This window comes from Homo sapiens, chromosome 9, assembly GCF_000001405.40.
Source record: "Homo sapiens chromosome 9, GRCh38.p14 Primary Assembly".
Classification (NCBI taxonomy): Eukaryota; Metazoa; Chordata; class Mammalia; order Primates; family Hominidae; genus Homo; species Homo sapiens.
The window spans coordinates 40,015,674-40,031,801 of NC_000009.12; the positions used below are offsets into that span (position 1 = coordinate 40,015,674).

At 32.7% G+C, this 16,128-nt stretch overlaps 1 long non-coding RNA gene across 1 annotated transcript; it reads right to left on the bottom strand.

The window, feature by feature from the left end:
* Positions 1-8,491: 8,491 nt before the first annotated feature.
* On the bottom strand, positions 8,492-15,076 carry LOC107986992 (uncharacterized). The gene is made up of 2 exons (XR_001746443.2): positions 13,154-15,076; positions 8,492-12,767 (listed from the first exon to the last, which is right to left on the bottom strand). It is a non-coding gene; the product is annotated as an uncharacterized LOC107986992 (long non-coding RNA).
* Positions 15,077-16,128: the final 1,052 nt, after the last annotated feature.

Consider the following 16,128-nt stretch of genomic DNA (forward strand, 5'->3'; position numbering starts at 1 on the left):
TAACCCAAATTGTCATTTCAACTGCTTCACATTATTAGAAAATACTTACCTTCTAGCTTTGAACATGAAAGAAAAGTACTCTTAGTCTATCAGTTTCCCTAACTAGGAGATTCATGTATTTGTTGGGGTCATATAAAGAAACTGATAGTGCAATTTAATAAGGATAATGCAGAGAGGATTTGGAGACTCTTTGCAAAGCTGTTGAAGGGATGAGAAAGAACACAAGAGACTGCAGTAACCTTTGGTTAGAGTGATTTTTATCACCCCTAGTTTGAAAGGGCCAGTGGCAAAGCAAGTTTACTAACTTTAGGATAAAGTAGACTCATCAGGAAAAGAGCAACCACCTAAGCTTAAGGGACAAAGCCAATCACCCCTGGGAAGCCAGTGTTAAAAATACTTGATCTTGCTCTCTGCTTTCCTGAGAATACAAATCATTCACTTTAACTCATTGAATTCACTCAGCAGTCAGAAGAAAAGGAAGCCTCTTGTTGGAATTCATACTAAGAAGATCAGAAAGTGTAGTGGAAAAGAGAGGACTAGAACTGCAGGTGCAAGTAGAAGTCAGTGTCCAAAAAGAAGTGTATTTGTATTGTTCATTTGACCTCATTTATTTTAGTATGCAAGCGTATGCTTAAAAATATTTCAGCCTTCTTTTTACTATATATGCAATTCGTCATTATTTATTAAGAGATTATATATTCATCATTACTTCAATGATCTCATTTTTAGCTTTCCTCTTCTTTATTAATGGATGCAGTAACTTCTGGCATTCCCCTGAGAATATTAATTCTACTTATTTGGAAGTACTCTTTTTATTGCTCTCTGCTGTCTTTCTTTTGTATTTTATACATCTTTCATTTGCTTTATGTTATTTTAATCTTACCCTATGCACTTACAATGATGGCACTTCTCCGAATGACTGTTGATTTTCTTCCTTTCTTTCTTTTTTTCATGTTGTCTACATTTTTTTTTCAAGGTGAGTTTCTGCTAGACTGTTATTACTGAGCAATCCTTTGGTGGAGAAGGAGGTTCATGCTGCTACAGGCCACAATTTGCCTCATTTGCAGTCAGATCAGGCTTTTTTTTTTTTTTTTTTTATTATACTCTAAGTTTTAGGGTACATGTGCACATTGTGCAGGTTAGTTACATATGTATACATGTGCCATGCTGGTGCGCTGCACCCACTAACGTGTCATCTAGCATTAGGTATATCTCCCAATGCTATCCCTCCCCCCTCCCCCGACCCCACCACAGTCCCCAGAGTGTGATATACCCCTTCCTGTGTCCATGTGATCTCATTGTTCAATTCCCACCTATGAGTGAGAATATGCGGTGTTTGGTTTTTTGTTCTATCGCAAGATCAGGCTTTTTGTCAGAGAGAGGACATGCCCATTAGGCAAGATGTATTCAGATATTTCCAACTGATCGCTGCCTTTTCTTTCTGATTCAAATTCCCATTCTCAATATATTTACCTAATGTATGCCTCCATTTTGCCTTTTTAAGCAAGACTAAAAAATCAATACCCTTGGAAAAAATTGATTAATTTGGCTAACTTAAATTTAAAGTCTTCACTTCTAGCAAAATAGTTTTACTACATATTTTTTACTATGAGAAAATATGTAAACTATGTATACGAAAGCAAATCTATAAATAATTTAGAAAAATAAAAATATTTCAATAGAAAAGTGGGAAAATGTAAAAATAGGTACTTACTGGAAGAATCAAGAGATTAGTTCTAAAGACCTTAATTATTTATTTAAACTAATTTAATTAAAATTTTAAAAATAATTAAATTTTTCAATAATCAAGTAAAACAAATTAAACTTAAACAATAGAACCTTTTATTTTGAGATGCAAAAGCATGAATCAAAGACATCTGTAAAGCTTAAATGTATTCAGATTGTAAAGCTAACCCATGTAAACCAAACTAGGCCAGGAATTAGACTATATTAGCGCCCCAGACTCCCCCAAGTGTCCCTTCCTAAAAGAAGCTCCTCTCACCCTAAGTTTTATGTATAATTTTTTTGCTGTGCTTCAAAAAGGTATAGCATGTATGCATCTCTGAACAACATACCTTAGTGTTTTTTGGCCTGCTTTGATAATTACTATGAAATCCTCTTTCTGTATTATTTTGTGCCACACTCCTTTTGTTCAACATATGTTTATGAGTGACAGCCCTGTTGTTGCAAGCAGTTGTAATTTATTTTTTTTCACTGCTCTATAATATTTGATTGTTTATATAGATGAGAATTTTCTATTTTATTCCTTATATACATTTGTGTTATTTTAAAGTTTGGTTGCTTAGGAGCAAAGTCAATATGAAAATACTTGGACATATGCTCTCAGAATTATATGCATAAGTTTATCTACAACATATAACTATCCAAGGAATTTTAGGAGCAAACATATGTGGTTACTTATTTAATCACAGACTAACTTTTTTTCAAATCAGTTGTATCAATTTATACTTCTTCCTGTGGTACCTAAGATTTCATAAAATTATACTTTCAATCCATGGGCTTAGCAAAATAATTCAAAGTTTAATAATATCAAATTGACATCTGTAATTTAAGACCACTTTAGATGAAAATTTTTGATATCTATTAAATTTTACAATGTGAATAACTTATAAGCACAATTTTCCTTAACTCATCATCTGTCTTATGAAATACTAACATATGTGCAGTAAAATGCAATAGGATGTCAATTACAGCTTTTTAAAAATAGTCAAAAGCCCATTAAATAGATTAAATGTCCACCAATAGAGAAATGGCTAAGTAAATATGACATATCTAAGAGTTAAAGAAATGATAAAGATTAACGTGTGTTGAATCACTAAGATTTCCAATACATATTAAATTGAAAAATAAAAACACATTATTGTGGTTACAAATACACAAAGTATTAGATTATCAAATCAGACTCACATGCATCGGAGATCTTATGCAAACTTAACTAATAATTTTATGGATAAAAATTATTGTGAGGTACAGGTGGAGCAAGGTAAGGTCAGATAGCACTGTGAGAATCCCTGGGTCCTTTCCTTCCACATCAGATATGCTTTGAACAAGGATAATAGATGATGATTCTGAGTAAGATGTGCGGTCATCTCACTTACACAGAGGAGATATTTAGATCACAAAATATCTCATTTTGTCTTTAGATGGTCCAGGAAACTACGCCCCATGAGTCAAAGAGATTTAGGTTTTATTATAAACAACCCTAGAAAAGAAATCACAGCACATACATTCTTCTAAAAGCATTCTGTAGGTAAGGTATTCCTTCCTGGAAACTTCTTAGTTTGTTTGCCAAGAGGTTAGCCAGTTATATGGTTACCAAAAAACCTGCCTTCTTTGTCTCCTGCATGTTTCTTATTAAAGAGAATGAATGAATTGCAGAACTATTGTTTGCACATTTACTTTTAAATGGTTTATCAGTAAAATATGTGAGAATACATTTTTAAAATAAACTTATGTGATTGCTTTGGAAAATGTCTGGAAATACGCAAACCACACTGATAATAATGGCCTTCTGGGGATGAACCAACACACAATAGATTTACTGGTAATCGTTTGATTTTTTCAAAAGTACTACGTTCCTGTATAATTTGCATGATTAAAATGTATTTAATATAATTTCCACCTGTGATAATTTTCTTGTGTATAAATAGGACATTGCTCTTGCTATTAGCAGCTATATACTGTAATATTTATAGTTGAACCACAGGGTTTAGCAGACTTCAGCCCATACACTGAACCTGTCCTATTGCCTGTTTTTGTACAACCTGCAGCTAAGAATGTTTTTATATTTTTTGAATAATACAAAAATATCAACAGAATAATAGTTCGTAAAACAAAATTAACAAAATTTAACATTTGTGTCTATGAATAAAGTTGATAATATTGTAACCACAGCCATTTGTTTGCATATTGTCTACTTTCTTGTTACAACAGGGTTTAGCAGTTGTGACAGAGACTTCTACAATGTTTCCAAAGCCTAAAATATTTACTGTCTTACCCTTTATAGAAATAAATACTTTGCTGACACTGTGACTCATAATAATGTTTGCAACTACTTTTTGAATAAGCTCAAAAGTTTACAGACACACACTCCTAAAATATTTGTTATATTGCTCTTTATAGAAATAATTTGCTTATCCCTGTGAATTATAGTGATGTATACAACTGATTTTTGAATAAGTTAAAAAATTTAGCTGGGGCGGTGGCTCACACCTGTAATCCCAGCACTTTGGGAGGCTGAGGCGGGCAGATCACCTGAGGTCGGGAGTTCAAGACCAGCCTGACCAATGTGGAGAAACCCAGTCTCTACTAAAAATACAAAATTAGCTGGGTGTGGTGGCGCATGCCTGTAATCTCAGCTACTCGGGAGGCTGAGGCAGGAGAATCACTTGAACCTGGGAGGCGGAGGTTACAGTGAGCCGAGATTGCACCATTGCACTCCAGCCTGGGCAACAAGAGCGAAACTCAGTCTCAAAAAAAAAAAAACTTTACACACACACACACAAACATGGATTATGGATTGAGTTGCATGTATTTGAATATTAGTTTTGTTATTCTTGCAACTTATTAGGAGGTTTGACACTTTTTCTAAATTACAATTGGGTGAAATTTTTGCAATTGATAAATTGCTAGATAACATAATCTAGCTCATATTATATGATAACTTTAGATGTTAAATCAGCAATAAACCTTATGAAGATCTATGTTTCTAGGAAATAATTACTTCAACAAGAAGGGAAAGTAAAGACAGAAGGTAAAACAAAATATAAGACGAAATAAAATAAAGATGGGAATTGAATGCCATAGAAGTGTGGAAGTTGGAGGGAAAGTTTCTAAAATTATTTGGATAAAAAGGAAGCCATATATTTTACTGAATCTTCTAGATGGGTTTTAATTCTGTATCCTTTCATACTCACATACTATGCCATTTTTTTCAACTTTTCATTCCACTTGCACTTCCTAACTTATGATGAATTTACCTATATAGAGTCCTTTTATCATTTAGACTAAAATTGTATTTATTTGAAGGTAAGAACGGTCATATACTTCTTAGTTGTTTTCAGAATTGAAAACATGGTTGAGGCCAGGCACGGTGTCTCTCATCTGTAATCCTAGCACTTTGAGAGGCCGAGGCGGGGGGACTACGAGATCAGGAGTTCAATACCAGCCTGACCAACATGGAGAAACGCGGTCTCTACTAAAATTACAAAATTAGCTGGGCATGGTAGTGCACACCTGTAATCCCAGCTATTTGGGAGGCTGAGTAAGGAGAATCGCTTGAACCCTGGAGGCAGAGGTTGCAGTGAGCCGAGATCACGCCATTGCACTCCAGCCTAGGCAACAAGAGCAAAACTCATCTCAAAAGAAAAAAAAAAAAGAAAAAAGAAAACATGGTTGAAAGTCAATATCCATGTGATAAATTGAGTTAGAAAGCCAATGAGAGCTTAGCTAATATAAAGGTGATGGAATTCACTATCAAAACTTTTCAGAGACTTAGAAAAAATATGGAAAATTAGTGAAAATGTAAGAGAATGAAGCTCGAAATCAAGATAATTAAACTGCAAACTTTAAGAAGGCAGGAAAGATATCCTTTACTTAGTTTGTCTTGTCCAACTAATGGTTAGTTGAATGCCATGCACATAACACATCCCTCTGAGTACTTATTGAATAAATGTAGAATGTCATTCTGGAATAAATTGAGGCAAGAAACTAGAGGGATAGCAGTGTGAAAAGTGAGATTAATTTATTTGGTATAGAGTCAGTAAATTTAAGTGGGTCATTTGAAACAACAAGCTTAAAAGAAAACCAAATAAGCATTTTCAATGCATAGAAATGCAACCATTTTTCTCCTTCTGTACTTTATCCATTCAAACATTGCTTGAAAAAAAATATAACTTTCAGTCTTGCTTTTTTATCTCCACCAAACTCAGATAATTTTGGTCGTTGATGACCTTTCTAAGCTAATTCCTATTTTAGAATGCTATGGACGAATGAATCTCAAAACTTCTTTTAACCAATTTATTTTATTCCATTTCCTAAGGAATAGAAACTTTTTACCTCCAACCCAGGGGAGCTATGAAACAAACTCCCCATTTATTTCCAATCCAAACACATTTGATAAAACAGGCAGAGGAATTTTTTATCAGATCTGTATTTTAAATTTTCATGACTGTTGTTCAAGAGTTTCCATTCTTGCTCATAAATATGTAGAGGCTTAAAATTCTTTTCTGAAAAATAAACTGCTACTTTAAATGATTTTAACTCATTTTTATAATACTTTTTTTATTCTCTGATGATCTCTTGCTGTTTTTCTTTCTCTAGAAATGTTCTAAGAATAAATTAGCTGATATAGTAAGAAAGGTTCACAAAATGAGTCCTTCACTTATACAGCACCTCTTCTAAATAACAGAGAGATTACAAATCCAATGTATTTAAACTCTGAGTTGTCTATATGTGTAGTGTTATAAAATGTAGCTGTCAGTTTTAACAGCTTTTCCCCCTGAGATTTCAGTGGCTAGCTAATGATCTTTTTTAAGAATTAGGACATTTTCTAGATAGCGAAATGGCAGGAAAACATATCAAATACATATTTTTCCATTATAGTATTCTGAGGACTGTAAAGTCTTACTCAATGTATATCACTTTTAATTTTTAGGATACATAGAAATATTTGCTAGTAGAAATAAATGGCAAGTGTTTACTTGAAGATGGTTTAGAAAGATGCTTTTCTCTTTTAATTTGAATTGCTACTGTAAATGTCATCACATGTATTTCAGTATTGTCTATGCCAACTTTGTACCTGAAAAACAGTATTATGAATTAGGCATTATATTCCATCTTCATAAATTAAAAAAGAAACATAATAACTAGCGAAGTGGAATGAGGAAGGTGTGGGGAGACACAGAAATTTTCAAAAGTAGTAACAAATTCAAGCATGTATTAGCTTAATATATCATAACTTAAATGATTTAAATTAGGTATATGTTTATACCAATAAGTTTTAAATTCTTAATTCTTACCTCATCAAGTACCAACAAAGAATGCCCTTCCATATTAATACACTTTGGGAATTAAGATAAAGTATATGTAATTAAATCATCAAACTCCTTTTGTTGTTTAGCAGGTAGTTTGATATAATAAGAGAAATTGTGTTCTCATTATATATTTGTCACAATGAATGAATGTAAAACCTTAATCAGGCTATCTGACTTCTTTTAGTGACATTTCCCTTTTTGCAACCAACACATCAAATTAGTAATATTTATCCTACAAAAATAATGTGAAGATAAATGAGATAAGATATATAATAGTCACAAATACTTATTGAATAAAGCTGTTTTTATTTATATATTTCTATGTACTTACTAGATATGTTCTTATTAAATATTTTATTATGGTATATGTCAAGTCTTTTACTTTTTTTATACTTAGTGTATTATAGAACTCACCATCCAATAAAATTGTAATACAATTTTCTTGATTTACTAATCCTAGGTGAAAAAAAAAAATATATATATATATATATGTTGTTTTCTGTTTGAATTATGCTTAGTTGATGGCATTTTCAATAATCTCTCTGATTCTTCCTTTTCCTGTTTAAACTACTCTCATTCTCATTGTGGCCTAGAGTTCTTTTTCCCTAATATTGCCTTCAGAAGGCTAAGTTTCTAATATAATAACAATTTGAGTCTTTACCACTTCTCTCTAGAATCGTGATTTAGACTAGGTTATTAGAGTAAACAATATGATTCCAAATTTTGTCCTTTTTTTAATGGGCTAGCATCCAAAAAGCATAAGAATTCTGGGGGGAAATGACATAATTAAGCTAGATTATTTTAATTTAAATTCAGAATTAAAAATGATTTTCAATAGCTTCTTTGTCTTAATTTAATAAGCTTTTGTTGAACATTGATTATATTTTGAATTCTATTTTTTCTTTTGTTTTTAGTTGGCACATAATTATACATATTTATGGGATACAGAGTGATATTTTGATACATGTATACAATATGAAATATTCTAATCAGAGTAATTAGCATACTATCACCTTGTACATTTGTCATTTCCTTGTGATGTGAATATTCAGAATTCTATCTGGTAGGTTTTTAAAAAAATTCACTGAATTATTGTTAACTTAATTCACCCTACAGTGCTACAGAACGCTAGAGCTATTCCTCCCTTCTAGCTACAACTTTGTTACAAAGTTAACTTTGCTTACCAACCTCTTTCCATCCTCTTCTTATTCCCATCCTTTCCAGCCTCTGATAATTACAATTCTACTTGTTACTTTTATAAGCTCATTTTTAGCTCCCACATATAAGTGAGAACATGTGGTTTTTCTCTCTCTGTGCCTGTCTTATTTCACTTAACATAATGTCCTCCAGGCTCATCTACGTTGTAACTAATAACATGATTTCAATTCACTACAAAAGTTAAAAGGATACTCAACAGTGCCAAACATTCTATTTTAGTTTCCCAATGCATTCACTCCCACAGCATTCATAACAATAACCTTCTACAAAGTTACCACATGTCTTATGCTAAATTGATGAGATCTCCCAATATTAAGTAAATTCTGTCCCTTAGCTCTCCCTCTCATTTTAGTATTATCATTCTCATTAATGAATAATTCCCTTTTTGTTAAAAGTTTACATTGACCTACCGTTGTCCTTCAGTTATCAACTTACTTTGTATTCTTTCTTTGAAAGAAATCAATCAAACAATAGACAGTCTCCTTCAATATTTCCTGTACTGTCTTCAATCCACTTAGCTGAGTACTTTCTTTTTTCTCTACTTACTCACTTTTTCCCCTGAGTGTTCTCAAGCATTTTCATGAGTTTAAAGGCCAGTTACATGATAGCATCTCAGAATATTTCCAATTTTGGTATCTTCTCTGAGTTAGAGCTTTGCATAGTCATCTACTTACTTAATATCAAATGTGGATTGTTTTATAGACAACTGAAATTCATAATGTTTTAAGTAGAGTTTTGTTATTTTCTCTGCTTCCCAGTTTGTGTGTGTATGCTTGTTTGTTTACTTCAGCTGGTGTTCCCATTGATTTTATCTTATCTAATACACCAAAACCCTATCAGTGGCTCTTTTCTTCAAACTTGCACATATCTTAAATATGTATTTCATTATTTTGAACAAGGTCTCCACCTTCTTGTCGTTTCACTTTAATAGTTTTCTAATTCATTTCCTTGTGTTTATTCTTGTCCCTGTAAAAATTATTCTTGGTTTAAGAGGCAGAGATATATATGTATTATAAACACAGGGAAACAAATTAGATATAAACCAATTACTATAAACCAATGTAATAATAATAATATATATTACTTTTTTCTATTTTTTTATTTCTTCTTTTTCTTTTTTATTTTTTGTAATGTAAGCAAGATTCTTTCCCTCCTCTGCCTTAAATCCTTTAGTTACTTGTGGAGTACAATTACAAATCTCCAGGATGCTAAAGCTCTGCTCTGCTGTCTACAACCACAGGCACCATTCAAGACCCTCACTCCTAATGAGACAGGGCTCTTTCCACTCTTGAAACACAGTTTTTCCCCATGGCAGGGTTTTGCACAAGGTAACATCTTGTCTTTGAAGCTTCATAGTTTGGCTTTTTAATCAAATGGTTCCTTTTCCATATTTAAGTCATCACTTTACATTTCATTTTCTTTTTTTTTTTTTTTTTTTTTTTTTTTTTGAGACGGAGTCTCGCTCTGTCACCCAGGCTGGAGTGCAGTGGCGCAATCTCGGCTCACTGCAAGCTCCGCCTCCCGGGTTCACGCCATTCTCCTGCCTCAGCCTCCCAAGTAGCTGGGACTACAGGCGCCCGCCACTACGCCCGGCTAATTTTTTGTATTTTTAGTAGAGACGGGGTTTCACCGTTTTAGCCGGGATGGTCTCGATCTCCTGACCTCGTGATCCGCCCGCCTCGGCCTCCCAAAGTGCTGGGATTACAGGCGTGAGCCACCGCGCCCGGCCTTACATTTCATTTTCTTGGAGAGGTCTTCACATGACTCCAAGCTATCACCAGTTATGTGCTATCGTAGAACATGGTTTATCCAGAAATAGTGATAACTTTAATCACTATTGATCATTCTTTGGTTTTCTTTACATTTATTTTATATCTTAAACACTGTAATATAAAAGACCTCAGGGATGGACCATGAATTTCATATTTAGCACAATACTTCAGAAGATCCATCCTATCCTTTTTCTTTTTTATTCATTTTATTTTAAAATTTTCATTTTGAACTACTTTAAAGCTTACAAAAATATATTTTAAAAAATCAAGAATTCCTATATATTCTTCACCCAGCTTCTTGACTGCTAACACCATATCTAAGAGTACAGTTACTCACATTAGGAAATTGATACGGAATTAGTTACTTACCTACAGACCTTATTTACATATTTTGTTCATGGTTCCACTAATGTTTTTTAACTAGGATCAAAATCAGGGTCACATATTGCATTTATCTGCTACATTTCTTTAGTTTTCTTTATTCGGGTGCGGAGGCTCATGCCTGTAATCCCAGCACTTTGGGAGGCCGAGGCGGGCGGATCATGAGGACAGGAGATGGAGACCATCCTAGCTAAAACGGTGAAACCCCGTCTCTACTAAAAATACAAAAAATTAGCTGGCGTGGTGGCGGGCACCTGTAGTCCCAGCTACTTGGGAGGCTGAGGCAGGAAAATGGCGTGAACCCAGGAGGCGGAGCTTTCAGTGAGCAGAGATCACGCCTCTGCACTCCAGCCTTGGCAACAGTGCAAGACTCCATCTCAAAAAAAAAAAAGTTAAAAAAGAAAATTCAGCTTTTCTTTTTGTCTTTCATGCCCTTGATACTTGTTTTTTGTAGATTATTTTGAAGTTTGATTTTTTTCTAATATTTCTTCATGGTTAAATTCACATAATATATTTTGGCAAGAATGCCACAATGCCGAGGTTGTCCTTCTCAGTGCATCATATCAGGAGGCACATGATATTATCGTGTCCTAATATTGTTGACGTTAACTCTGATCACTTGAATAAGACATTGTCTGCCACATTTCTCCACTTCAAAGTTACCATTTTTAAAATCAGTATTTTGTTGAGAGATACTTGGAGATTATGTAAATATCTTGTTTCTCATAATTGTATCCACTAATTTTAGCAGACTTGTCTGCAACAATTATGTGGTATTTGCCAAGAAATGAGAATCTATTTCCACTATTCTTTCTATATTTATTGATTAGAATTCTACTGTATGGAAAAGCTTTCCTTTGTCCCACTTTTCTTATTTATCCAATTATTTATTTATATTAGTGTGGATTCATGTGTATTTGGTTTAATTAATCTGAATAATCTATTGCCATCATTATTTATTCCCTTGTTCAATTTATCTCAGTTTGGGTCACTGAGAGCCACTTCTAGTTAGCTCCTATGTTCTTTGGCATGTCTCAATCATTAGTTGAGACTTCCTTATTTTCTTAACAACAACAGATGTCTCAGACCCATTTTGTTCTTTCTGCCGCATGCACCTAGAATCAGGCATTGATCCAAGGAGCTCTGTATCCTTTTAAAGAAGAAAAAAGTGAATCCAAGATTTGAATGCTAGATGTGCTGATTGCTATTAAAATGTTATTGCTTCTAGTCTTAGTGGTTAAAATTAAGAAATATACACACATTCGGCCGGGCGCTATGGCTCACACCTGTAATCCCAGCACTTTGGAAGGCTGAGATGGGCGGATTATGAGGTCAGAAGATCAAGACCATCCTGGCTAACACGGTGAAACCCCGTCTCTATTAAAAATACAAAAAAATTAGCTGGGCGTGGTGGCAGGTGCCTGTAGTCCCAGCTACTTGGGAGACTGAGGCAGGAGAATGGCATGAATCCAGGAGGCAGAGCTTGCAGTGAGCCGACATTGGGCCACTGCACTCCAAGCTGGGCGACAGAGAAAGACTTCATCTCAAAAATAAAAATATATATATATATACACATTCACACACAAACATGTGCGTCTAGGTCTATTTATATATCTACACATTCTTTTCAATTTCTATCTAACGTAGAAAAAAAGTAAACTTAAGTATATATTGATAGTTTTGATTCTGATTGAACACCATAAGTGTTATTCTAGTCTCCACTCCCCCTCATTTCTAAATTCTTTTTCTAAAACGGAATCAGTTTTGTTTTAGTTAATATACTTAATATAATTATTTGCTTTTTATTTTTTTTTTAAATTTCAACTTTTAGATTTGAGGATATATGTGAGTGTTTGTTACAGAGTATACTGCATGATGCTGAGGTTTGGGTATGACTGAACCCATCATCCAGGTAGTGAGCATAGAACCCAAGAGGTATTTTCTATGGCACTTTACACATTCTAGAAAACTGGTTGTTAATTAGCACAAGCACCTATAATAGTGCCTGATATATTTAGTACTCAAAATATATGTTAAATTAAAAACAAATGTATAAATTAATGGTTGAATATCATAATAATTACTCAAAATGTAACATAATTCCAAAGGAGAAAACTTTTTTCTAAAAAGGCTCTCTCAATTGCTCTTTCTGATTTACTATTTTCCCCAATCTGTAGTTGCTTCATTATTGTTTGGAATTTTGCATTAGTTGTCAATAAACAAAAAATATGGATCATATCACAGCTCTTTCATTGCTTTCATTTCTTGAGATATATGAATGTATGTGATATCTTTGATGTCCTGTATTTTATCTTTATTGCTTTTTGTTACTTAAGAACATCTAGAAAAGAAGATAAATATTAATCATGTCAGAAATTATCAAAGGTTGATTACAATAAAAATTTCTCTAATGTGATAACCACTCAAAACTTCCTTCTTCATCAAAACACAGTATTTTTTAAAAAATGGAGTGCTGCATTTTTATTTCACAGAAAATAATCAAATGATAGCCAGAATATTTTGAACTAGAGTCACATAGGATATTCTAATAATACTGCTTGTGAAAGAAGTATTGAGGAGGTCTTAGGACCAAAGAATATTTGTTTAATAGTGTCAGAATTCATTTTAACACCATAAAAAGGATATGTATTTGTTCAATTTTCACTCACTGCACAAAGAATTAGATAAAAGAAGATTTTCAGTAATAGCATTCATTTTGAGTCTTACCAATCCTTTCAGTTTTGGTATAACAAAAATGCTATTAGCTTTTACTCTGTTGTGTTGAATTTTGATGATTTCTGACAGTCTTCACTGAGATGCTCAAAGAGATGAGACTTGCCAGTCGAAAAACTTAAGATCTCATTAAATTTACCAGCAACATAAAAGCTATTTCTGCCTCTTAACTTTTTGATGTGTTGCCTTTTTCTAGTCCTCTTCTCAGGACCTATTTAAAAGACAATAAAAATTTTGTTTTTGTGTGTTGAAAGATTTCTCCATTATCAAGAGAGTAGTCCTTAACTTTAGAATGACTGCATATATAGATATGAAAAATAAGGAAACAATTATTAAGAAAACTAATCGAATTTTTTACTAATATTTAGTAATTTTAACAAAATTATTGTGCATTGTATTTTGTAGCATTTATGCAGAGGATATACTAACCTGTTTAAATTTTTAGACAAAAATAGTAGAAAATAGAACATCGTCATTTTCAGGAGCAAGGAAGTAACCTGTGAAAAAGTGAATGCCTTTCTTCAAATAATATGCTAATGAAAGGCTGAGATATTAATGTCTAAATATTATAAAACTTTCATTTTAATATAATGTTTTACTTTATATTTATATTATATTGTATAACAAAGAAATGTGAGTCTTGTTACACCTGAGAACTTGAACTGGCAATCTACATATTGTTGTTGAAACAATTTTAAGTTAAACATACAATGAGAGGGAAAAATGATTCTGTTGCCTCAATTTTAAAAGGAATATTTTGAAGAACCAATTTTCCATATAATAGCTTGTTATGATCTTGCCTTTTAGCCTCCCTGGATAAAGAAATGCATACTTATAATAATTGAAGGAAGACAATTTTCCTTGTTTTCTGCAAATTAGAAATATATTAGGCTATTAAATACATAATTCAAAATATACAGAATAAAGGTATTATAGAACCTAAGAATTATATAAAGAATTATATACATAAAGTAATGAATACATATACAAATAGTATAAAAATACTAAAAATAGTATTTGCTTATTGATTAATTACTATGGGTATTATATAACTCTTAGTTTCTACATTGCTTTTCTATTCTTAGTTATTATAATAGGTATATTATAATTACTAATATGTATAAACTACTTATAGTTTATATGAATGTGTTATATGTACATGTATATTATAATAACTAATACCTATAAACTATTTACAATTATATGTATTATAATAACTAATAAATATAAACTACTTATTGTCAAAACTGTTTTTAACTATTAAAAGATAAAGCACACAGATATGTTTTCTTTACTAGGTATTCCCAGAAGCACTCATAAAACTCGGGGTTTTCATATAGCAGTGATTACAGACTTGATATTTTTATTATTCCCATTTTATAGATTAAGAGCACAAGACCCATATTAGTGTTATTTAGCCATGTCATAGAGCCAATTCCCAGATATTTTTTCCACTTGTTTTGTCATGAAGAATGAGAAGTAGAATCAGCATCAAGTTTGTGCTAAACAAGTACAATAATAAGAAGCACAGCAAATGCTGACTAGACTGTAAGAATATTTTTGCTTTTAGGCCACCCGAAAAAGATAAGATATATGAGGTGATCAAAGTGAATAATTATATAAACAAGAGGAATTAGAATATGAATAAGCCAGGAAAAATAGGAATAGGCCAAGAAAACACACACACCCATTTCTTATTTAAACCTAAAGGGAGACAAATTCATTCAATCTATACATATTTATTTTGCTACCTCAATAGAGATAAATATCTTCTCTAAGAAAAATCCCACTTTACTTAATATGTATCACATTTACCTAATAAATAACACATTACTAAAACAGAGAGCAACCAGTGTTTTACTCTTTTTTTTTTCAGAGATGTTTTGCTCTTGTTGCCCAAGTTGGAGTGCAATGGCATGATCCCAACTCACTGCAACCTCCACCTCCCAGGTTCAAGCAATTCTCCTGCCTCAGCCTGCCAAGCAGCTGGGCTTACAGGCATGCACCAACATGCCTGGCTAATTTTTGTGGTTTTTTTTAGTAGACACGGGATTTCACCATGTCGGTCAGGCTAGTCTCGAACACCTGACCTCAAGTGATCCACCCGCCTCGGCCTCCCAAAGTGCTGGGATTATAGGCATGAGCCTTTGCGCCTGACCTCATTTATTTTCATATAAAATATAGGGTCAAGTATGTTGAGATATTAGTTACGTTATATTTTGCTCAGTATTGCCTGAGAGTTGGATTATTTTATCATTGTAGAGAATAGCTTCTAGATTATGAGAATATTAAATAAAATAAACTGGAGAGACTCTCAGCAGCAAACTATGGTATGTAAGTACATATGTAAATATGTATCTATCTATCTATCTATCTAATCTATCCTATCTATCTATCTATCATCTATCTATCCATCTATCTATCTATCTCCTTTTCTTTCATTTATGTCTGGATCTGTACCAAACACCAGGCAGAGGAGTTAGGAGAAGTAACTGAAAAACCCATGGGTGACATCACCAACTAAAACAGGTGACAAATAATCAGCATGAAACCCAGAATACAAGAGTAATTGTCCTAATCACTGGCAGCATAGGGCCAGTACCAGCTGGAGTTAATGGCAAAGATAAAATGAAGATAAAAGGAAGTATTGTAAGATCTTAATATCAATAAACTACAACAAGAAATCATCAATAATGCTCACTCGCAAAAGAAAAATACTTACCCTGAAGAAAAACAATTGGAACAAAATCAAAATTAATCAGAGAATCAGATAATCTGAGACAAGTAAGATAATTTTTAGAAAATAATTTTTAGAAAAAAATAATTTGAAGGTACATAAAATCAAATAGAAGTGGTACAAACTATAGTAAGAGATATAGAGTATAAAAATAAGAGTAAAAAACAGAAATTGAGAGATTAAAAACATCTAAAAATTTTCTAAACATAAAACTTAGGCAAAGAATAGTAAT